The sequence below is a fragment of the Homo sapiens genome, chromosome 8 (assembly GCF_000001405.40).
Source record: "Homo sapiens chromosome 8, GRCh38.p14 Primary Assembly".
NCBI lineage: Eukaryota > Metazoa > Chordata > Mammalia > Primates > Hominidae > Homo > Homo sapiens.
The window spans coordinates 102,764,821-102,774,594 of NC_000008.11; the positions used below are offsets into that span (position 1 = coordinate 102,764,821).

At 49.8% G+C, this 9,774-nt stretch overlaps 1 annotated feature.

The window, feature by feature from the left end:
• Positions 9,307–9,506: an enhancer, noted in NCBI's record as "active region_27772". NCBI's record gives its function as "activates an Ori minimal core promoter by ATAC-STARR-seq in GM12878 lymphoblastoid cells {active_cell/tissue: GM12878}" and the evidence as "EXISTENCE:reporter gene assay evidence [ECO:0000049][PMID:35858748]".

Below are 9,774 nucleotides of genomic sequence, written 5' to 3' on the forward strand. Positions count from 1 at the left end.
AAGACTAGTTTGCCTTTACTTTTCTTCCTCCAACACTCTCAGTAGTTTTGTAACCACTTAATTCCCTATATTAAACCCCTTTCTGTTTGAAATACCTGGGGTGGTGTCTGTTTTCCCAACTGGACTATAACTAAACACTTTCTTTTTATCAGGAAAGGAAAAATTTCCCAGCTATCCACCATCAGACTTTTATCCACATCTAGAGTAAAAAAGCTAAGTAGGTCACATGCATACTACAAAACCCAGCCAATTGGCCAAGGTAAATGGGATTACCGTAACAGGCTTGAACTAGTCCTGACTCCTCCCCCAGGGTTGGGCATATTACTGCCTCATATCTGAATAAAGAAGAGGAAAATGACTGTGTGCAGACACCAATAGTTGCTGCTACTGGTGCTTTGGAGACCCCAGTGCAGTTTGGAGGGTCCTAATAAGAAAAGTTGGCCTGAGAGTGGGGTTTGTCTTTTGGGTCTGGCTGATGGCGGTAATGAATGTCTAAGGAAATGGGCTTCATGATAAGGCTGAGATTCAATTAGAAAAGAATCAATGTGTTTGTATTGATTTGAGGTGGGCACTTGTATTTTCTTCTATGCAAGGCTAGGCATTCTTGGGACAAATTAAAAAATAGAAGTGCAGTGAAGTAAAGCAGGACTAAAAATTATGTGTCCATTGTCTATTGAATGGACAAATAATAATGCTTCTCACATGTATTATATGTTTTAATAATGATAATACTAAAAATAACCACTTTAATAGTACTTACAGCATGCCAGGCATTTTTCCAAATGCTGTCTGTGCATTGTCATGTAATCCTCACAATAATATAAGGTAGGTATTATTATTATTCCTATACACAAGGTGAGAATGCTGAGGCACTTGAGGTTCCCCCTCTCAAGGTGAGAACCTCAAAGTGAGAACTCTCAAGGTGAGAACCTTGAGAGTTGTCCAAGGTCACACATAGCTTTAGGTGACAGAGCTGAGATCTGAACCCAGATGGTCTGGGCCTGAGATCATACTGAGAACATAAATTTGGCTGGGCACAGTGGCTCACAGCCTGTAATCCCAGCACTTTGGGAGGCTGAGGCAGGAGGATCACTTAGCCCAGGAGTTTGAGACTGGCCTGGGCAGCAGAGTGGGACTCCATTTCTCTTCCCATTTTTTTTTTTTTTTTGAAACAGGGTCTCATTCCATTGCCCAGGCTGGAGTGCAGTGGCGTGATCTCAGTTCACTGCAATCTTCATTTCCTGAGTTCAAGCAATCCTTCTACCTCAGCCTCCCAAGTAGCTGGGACTACAGGCACACACACACCCATGCCTGGCTAATTTTTGTATTTTTTTGTACAGACAGAATTTCACCTTGTTGCCCAGGCTGATCTTGAACTTCTGAGCTCAAGCAGTCTGCCCACCTTGGCCTCCCAAAGTGCTGGGATTATAGGCATGATCAACTTCACCCAGCCCTTGAGACCCCATCTTTACAAAAAATAAGTAAATAAAAAATTAGCTGGGTGTGGTGGCCCATGCCTGTGGTCCCAGCTACTTGAGAGGCTGAGGTAGGAGGATGGCTTGAGCCCAGGAGGTTGAGGCTGCAGTGAGCCGTGATTGTGCCATAAATTTAAGGTGGCTTTTTGTCACTATGTATTCTGTTCATCAACAGATGCCAAAAGAAATCACATGAGGAGCTATGACATTTGTTTATGTTTGTATATGTGTCTTGTTGCTGCTGTAACAAATTAACACAAAGTTAGTGGCAATAAACAATATAAATGTACTCTTTTCAGTTCTGGAGGTCGAAGTCTAAAATCCACGGGGTTGCATTCCTTCTGGAGGTGCTGGGGAGAATCTGTTTCCCTGCCTTTTTCAGCATCTAGAGGCACCCACACTAAACGGCCTCTTGGCCCCTTGCCCCCATCTTCAAAGCCAGGAGCGTAGCATCTTCTCTCCCTTCTGACCTCGTGCCTCCCTTTGATGAGAACCTCTGTGGTGACACTGGCCCAACCAGGTCATCTAGGAAAATCTTCCCATCTCAAGATCTCTAGCCCAATTACACCTGCAAAGTCCTTTTTACCATGTGAGCTTCCAGAGAACAGTACACTGGCTTCTTTGAGGAGCCATTACTCAGACTAACCTAATGTTACAAGGAGAGCTTGCCCTGGAGAGGGTAGGAAAGGGCCCGACTAACGCAATGAGTCCATCACACAGATAGAAGGGGCAGAGGCCACTGCGTGAAGGCCCAGGCCAGCTTGCCCTGAGCTCTTGCCTGGCTCCATCCCACACTCTGGCTGGTGGGGTGGGTGGGCACCTCATCTCTGAGGACAGAAGGGGAGGGAGTCCGGTGGGGGCAAAGCAGCTGGTCTTGCAAGAGTGTCCTGCTGTTGGCTGGGTAGGGCCGGCTCTGAGGAGCCTTTCCAGGGGAGCTTTGTTTTTCCAGAAGAAAACTGACAGAAGGACAGCTGCCCCAAAACAACAAGAACTAAGTGAAAGCTCTGCAGAGGTGCAGATGGTAGCTATGTCCCTCCCACGAGGGTCCTCCCATGTTAGCAGGCCACAGGATGCATGGTGCCATCCAGCCAGTGGTCCACGTGGGCCCAGCTTGAGTATCTTCCTGATAATGGAGGCCAGGATTTGCAGCTGGGCTGAGATGATCTGGGCAAGGATGCACGGTCAGCCTCAAGCAGCCTGCACATAGCATGCTGTCCTGCAGTGTGCAGTGGAGTCACTGGGGCATGGGGTGGGAGGTTATATGCTGGGATAGCCCAAGGGCTCCCACTCCTCTGGAGGAGCTCAGCCTTCTACAAAGTCTTCCTCTGGCTTCTCCTCTTCCCATTGTCCTTAATAATGAACCTGCAATAGGCAACTTTTACAGGAGACTCTGGAATTATGAATAAGGCAGTGGGCTGGGGGTGGAGGGAGCACCCAGGAGGAAGGGCTTGGGCTCCCTGCCCTCAGTGGCTCATGTCTGTCTGGGGAAACAGACATGAAGATGGAAGGACCACCATAGGTAAGACACCTCACGAAAATGTTGACGCTGCTTTCTGGACTCTGGCTTATGCATGGAAAATATGCAAGAACAATGAAGTTCGTTGCCTTCTGCAGAGCACTTCCCCGGATCCCGGAGTGAATTTCATACTTCAGGAGCAGTCACAATAAAGTTCTTGCAAAACAGCTTCATGTCAAGCCAGCTGAAAGAGGTAGTTCAGCACGACGTGCCTTTTCCTGGAGGCATTACTGAGCTTTTCTTGCCTGCCAGAAAGTTTCCTCTTCACTGCCTTGACGAACACAAACTCTGTCAAACACGAGTTCAGGTCTGCATGTCGTCTGCGAACACAGCTGGGGCCAGCGTCAGGCAGCTGCCAGCTACAGAGGGTTTGTTTTCTTAGCAACCCTCTCCTTTCTTGACAACAGCAGCCTGGAGCCAAGCTCCAGGGTGACAGGTATGGTCAGTGATTTGCCACAGTGGCTTTTGTCCCATCCCCCCTCAGAAGTGCCATCTGGGCATGTTTTAGCCTGAGCCTGAATCTGGCCAATCCTTACACCCCCGACTTGACTTCCTTCAGACCTGGCCTGGCTTCAGCTCCTGGAACCCTCCCCATGCTGAGCAGTGGCCTAGGGAATGCAGACTTGTCCTCAGCAGTGAAGTCAGGGGACAGAAGGATTCTAGAAAAACACAGGCAGAAAGCAAGTGCTGAGAAGGGCTAGTAAAGGCTGAGTTGGGAGCCCTTCATTCCTTATGCCAAGTGGTTCAAGGCTCCTTCTGACTCAGTTTCCTTCCCTGAAGGCCAAAGCTGTGAGGGTGCATACCCAGCTTACCTCCTGAGGCAAAGTTTACCCCCCTGGCTGTGAGGGCAGCAGGGACCTAAAGATGACTGAAGCCAACCCTGTCATCTATCAGATGCGGAAACTGAGGCCCAGAGAAGTAAATGACATGCTCAAAATCAGAGGGTGAGTGGGCGGCAGGACTAAGATTATTACTCAGGACCCATGTGAGAAAACCAGTAGAACTGGCCTCCAATTCCCACCCCCAACACCACCCTGACATATACACATCGGTTGCCCACAAGAGCATTCAGACCCTTGTAGGGTACCCCGCCCTCCCTGGACATCATGGAAACAGCAAAGCAGAACATGAGTCCCTTCCTCACACTGGCCAACAGGGTTTGGAAAGATTGACTTTTGACACTCTAGGCCCAAGGCCTAACGAGCCTAGAAATCATGAGCTCTCTATTCTAGGTATCCCAGCATCCCAAGGAGCAGCCGAGCTGCCTGCGAAGGAATTTCTGCTGAGTTCTCTGGGGCTCCTACTCTCCCAGGCTGGCTCCTAGGTGAGCCTGCTGGCCTCCACTCCACACATGGGACGCTCAGATCCCATCCTCCTCCTTCAAATCAGATCCACACCTGGAACTGGCCTGGAGCTCCCAGGCCACCATTTCCATTGCAGTGTCTTGTCCAGCCCTCCTGCTGGGACTGCCGTGTCAGCCACAGCATTGGTTCCTCATTTTTGCTCACTCCCCTTGCCTCTGCCTCCCTTCCCTGCAAGCATGCCCAACCCCCGAAAAATCCCCCAACCCCCACCAGGAAGGCAGAAGTGGCAGCAGAGATGAGGATGGGAGCAGAAGGAAGTCCTCCTGTGGGGAGTTGTTGATGAGCCACTGCCCTGCCTGTATCAGTGCTGCTGTCCATTCCTGTTTCTTCCATGTGATGTGCACATAGTAGGTTCCCCAACAAATCCCAGTGAATTGAATTTCCTGTCATTTTCTCTCTTACCAGAAGTTCTTTTGTTCCTCTAACTCAGTTGCCTGACTGGTGGTGAGCACAGACATTTAATAGAGGTCAAGTAGGCCGGGTGCGGTGGCTCACACCTGTAATCCCAGCATTTTGGGAGGCTGAGGCGGGTGGATCACACAGAAGTTCAAGACCAGCCTGGCCAACATGGTGAAATCCCATCTCTACTAAAAATACAAAAAATTATCCAGCCGTGGTGGCGCATGCCCCTGGTCCCAGCTACTCAGGAGGTTGAGGCAGGAGAATCCCTTGGGCCTGGGAGGTGGAGGTTGCAGTGAGCCGAGATCACAGCACTACACTCCAGCCTGGGTAAGAAAGCAAAACCCTGTCTCAAACAAACAAACTAACAAACAAAAATAGAGGCCAAGTAACAAGATAAGCTAGGGTTAGAAAGGAACTAGAACAAACATCCTGAGAGATTGTATTTTCTTCTCACTCCTCCATAAACCAGCCTCACATCTGGTTTCCTGTAGGTACAGAGACCGAGGCAGGGCCAGGTGCTGCCCAGGAAGGAGCGGGTCTGGTTTCCAAATCAGAGGGCCGGAGCGTGAGAACAGCCTAAGTGGGCCGAAGGGCAGGGAGAGAGCTGTACGGCTGTACCCTTTCTGCATGGAAACAGGACAGCCCAGCAGTGGGTGGTAGATGCCAGGGCCTGGCATGGGGAAAGCGCTTCTGATTGGCACTTCCTGGCATACCTGAGTGGCTTGGTAATTTCCCGTTCCTGGGACATGTGGGTGCTTAGGAACATTTTAACCCAGAGGCAACCAAGGAAGGTTTTGTCTTGATCTTGCAGTTGAAGTAACAGAAAATCCAACTCAAGTAAAAGTAACAATAGGAAATATCATACAGCATTTACTGTATGTCAGGCCCCATCCCAACCCTCTCTACATTAATTACTCACTCCTGTCAACAATCGTATGAGGAAGGAATCCTATTATCATCCCTATTTTACAGACATAGTCACTGAGTAACCTGCCCAACGTCATGGAGCTTGGCAAGCCAGGATTAAAACCCTGCAACTTCGCTCCTGCTAACTCTTCCCCCCTCCAGCCTTTTGAGATCAAACAGGCAAAACATCAGGTGTGCTGGGCTTGTGTAACCACGTCATAGAAAGGAGATGCAGGTGGGTCTTGGAAGACAGGGATCAGGAATTTTCTCTTTTTGTTTTTCACTTTTTATTTTTGAGACAGGGTCTTGCTCTGTGGCCCAGGCCAGAGTGCAGTGGGGTGATCACAGCTTACTGCAGTCCCAACCTCCCAGGCTCAAGTGATTCTCCCGCCTCAGCCTTCTGAGTAGCCGAAACTACAGTTGCACATCACCACACCTGGCTAATTTTTATTTTATAGATTGGGGGTCTTGCTATGTTGCCCAGGCTGGTTTTGAACCCGTGGGCTCAAGCAATCCTCCTGCCTTGGCCTGCCAAAGTGCTAGGATTACAGATGTGAGCCACCTTGTCTGGCCTCTTTCTCTTTTTAATTTTTCTGTTTTCTGAACTCTAATCCCATGGCAAATCCCTGGTCTCAGGAATCAGTGTGCCCCTGGCCTCCCCTTTTGGATCTTTAGTTCCTGTTTTCCTGTAGGCTGGATTTATTCTCATCTACTGCAGACTAATTTCCTCCAAAATCCACTGCAAAGCTACCGTCAGCTCTCACAGAGAAACAAACTGCCCTCCTCCCTGTGCTTCCAAGTTTGAAATTTCCAGAAGAGGGCTCTGACCAGCCTGTTGGGTCAGTGCTGTCTCCTGGCCAGTCTACAGTGGGCAAGGGGGAGAGATCCACAAGAAGACAGTAATTATCATTCAAAGTCTTGGTGGGAGGTACTAGCTCCAAAAAGTGGGTGGACGGTCCTTTCCGGACAGGTAGTGCCCAACATCCACGGCACAATTGCTGCGAGTGGGAAGAGTTTCCAGATCCAGGCCTCCAAACACACAGTGGGCCAGGAGCCTCTGGGGGCTCACCAGGCAGCAGGTGGGGGCAAAAAGGAAATAAGAAGACTAAGAGGGTTACTCAGAAAGGAAATGAGAGGCCAAGTGCGGTGGCTCACAACTGTAATCCCAGCACTTTGGGAGGCCAAGGTGGGCAGATCACTTCAGGTCAGGAGTTCGAGACCAGCCTGGCCAATGTGGCAAAACCCAATCTCTACTAAAAATACAAAACATTAGCCAGGCGTGCCGGTGTGCGCCTGTAGTCCCAGCTACTTGGGAGGCTGAGGCAGGAGAATTGCTTGAACCTGGGAGGTGGAGGTTGCAGTGAGCTGAGATCACGCCACTGTACTCCAGCCTGGGCGACAGAGCAAGACTCTGTCTCAAAAGAAAAAAAAAAAAAAAAAGGAGGCCAGGCATGGTGGCTCATGCCTATACTCCCAGCACTTTGAGAGGCCAAGGCGGGTGGATCACCTGAGGTCAGGAGTTTGAGACCAGCCTGGCCAACACGGTAAAACCCCATCTCTACTAAAAAAAAAAAAAAAAAAAAAATCAACCAGGTGTGGTGGCACCTGCCTGTAATCCCAGCTACTCAGGAGGCTGAGGCAGGAGAATTGCTTGAACCTGGGAAGCAGAGGTTGCAGGGAGCTGAGATCGCATTGCGCCACTGCACTCTAGCCTGGGAGACAGAATGAGACTCTGTCAGAAAGGAAGAAGAAAGAAAGAGAGAAAGAGGTAGGGGGGAGGTTGGTAAGGAAGGGAAGGGGAGGGGAGGAGAGGGGAGGGGATTGGAGGGGAGGGAGAAATGAGAGTGAGCAGGGAAGGGCAGGAAATCGAGAGTGGACCCCAGCTCAATATGGGTCCCTGCAACAGACTGGGGAGGAGACGTGACTGTGAAGAATAAAGTGCACCTGGATTTACGGGTCAAGGGCGAGGAGCCAAACGGGATTTCTGTTCTAGTCTTTCTTCTAAAATCAGTCTCCATGGAGCTTCAGGAGGCCTGCTGGGAATTAGTCCTCATGCTTCCTCCCAGCTTGTACCAAACCTATTCCTGAGTGACAGATCACCCCAAAACGTAGCTGCTAAAGCAATAGTTGTCATTTATTACCTCTTACAGCTTCTAAGAGACAGGATTTGGGGGCTGCTTGACTGGGTGATTCTGGCTGGGGGTCTTAGTCCCTTTTCTGTTGCTTATAACAGAATACCTGAAATGGTAATTTATGAAAAAAGACATTTATTTTATTTTATTTATTTATTTTTTAGACAGAGTCACGCTCTGTTGCCCCGGCTGGAGTGCAGTGGTGTGATCTTGGCTCACTGCAACCTCCGCCTCCCGAGTTCAAGTGATTCTCCTGCCTCAACCTCCAGAGTAACTGGGATTACAGGTGCGTGCCACCATGCCCAGCTAATTTTTTGTACTTTTAGTAGAGATGGGGGTTTCACCACGTTGCCCAGGCCAGTCTCGAACTCTTGGCCTCAAGCGATCTGCCCACCTCAGCCTCCCAAAGTGCTGGGATTACAAGCGCGAGCCACTGTGCCTGGCCAAAAGGAATTTATTTCTTACAGTTCTGGAGGCTGAGAAGTCCAAGGTTGAGGTGACACATCTGATGCTAGCTTTCTTGCTGGTGGAGACTCTGCAGGTTCCCAAAGTGGAGCAGGAGGTTGAATGTGCTAATGTGTTAGCTTGGGTCTCTCTTCCTCTCCTTAATAAGCCATCAGTTCCACTCCCATGATAACCCATTAATCTATTAATCCATGAATACATTAATCCATTCATAAGAACAGAGTCCTCATGATCCAATCACCTCTTGAAGGCCCCACCTCTCAACAGTGCCACCTTGGGGATTAAGTTTCAACATGAGTTTTGTAGGGGACATTCAAACTATAGCAGGCTCTCCCATGGATTGCAGTCCCATCGTGGCTAGGGCTGGGTCAACTGGAAGACCTCCACACTCACAGGTCTGCTGTCTGGGCTGGGGGCTGCCCAGCAGGGGCTCCACAGGCATCTCTCTGCATTGCTCTAGGGCCCTTCCATGTGGTCTCCCCAGCAATAGTGGCTTCAGGGTACCCAGACTGCTTCCATGTTGACTTAGGGGCCTGAAGGCACATATTCCAAGAGACAAGCAGGAGCTATGTTACCTTTTATGAGCTAGTCTTGGAAGTCACACAGCATCATCTCCACAGCACTAGACCAACAGAGGCAATTTCAAAGGTTCACCCAGGTTCAAGGCCATGGAGCATGCCCCACCTCTCCAAGGAGGGACGTCACTATCACACTGCAAGAAGAACGTACGGCATGGGATGTGGCCGGTGCAGCCATCTTTGGCAGTCTGACACTGTAGCTTCATCCCAAGCTACGCCTCTTTTTTGTTATAATTCAAACCATATAGAACATAAAGTAAAAAGTGAAAGTACCTGCCGGGCGCAGTGGCTCACGCCTGTAATCCCGGCACTTTGGGAGGCCGAGGCGGGTGGATCACCTGAGGTCAGGAGTTTGAGACCAGCCTGGTCAACATGGTGAAACCCTGTCTCTACTAAAAATATAAAAAATTAGCTGGGAGTGCTGGTGGGCACCTGTCATCCCAGCTACTTGGGAGGCTGAGGCTGGAGAATTGCTTGAACCCAGGAGGCAGAGGTTGTAGTGAGCCGAGATCATGCTACTCCACTCCATCCTGCGTGACACAGCAAGACTCTGTCTCAAAACAAAACAAAAAATGAAAGTTCCTGTCTTATCCTGCTACCCAAAGGAAACCTCTCTTACCAGTTGGTATTCAGATTCCTTTTCTAAGCACTTACAAATACGTACTTAAGTATGAATGTGCTGACAATTTTCCAGGGGCCCTCCAGGGCTACTCTGCACACTTCCCCACTCTGCCCTGTGCCCCGGGAGGCTGACCTGCTGCAATGGGCTCCCTCACCTTTGGGCTTCCAGGTGGGTTTGACAACTGGGGGGCACCAGGTGGAGATGGGAGAAAGGGAGGAGAGAGGGAGGTGAGAGTACTGATTTCCCCATCTCCCTCCCTGGCTGTCTCAGTGAGGTGACTGTGTCCACTACAGTCTCAACTCCTGTGCATGGAT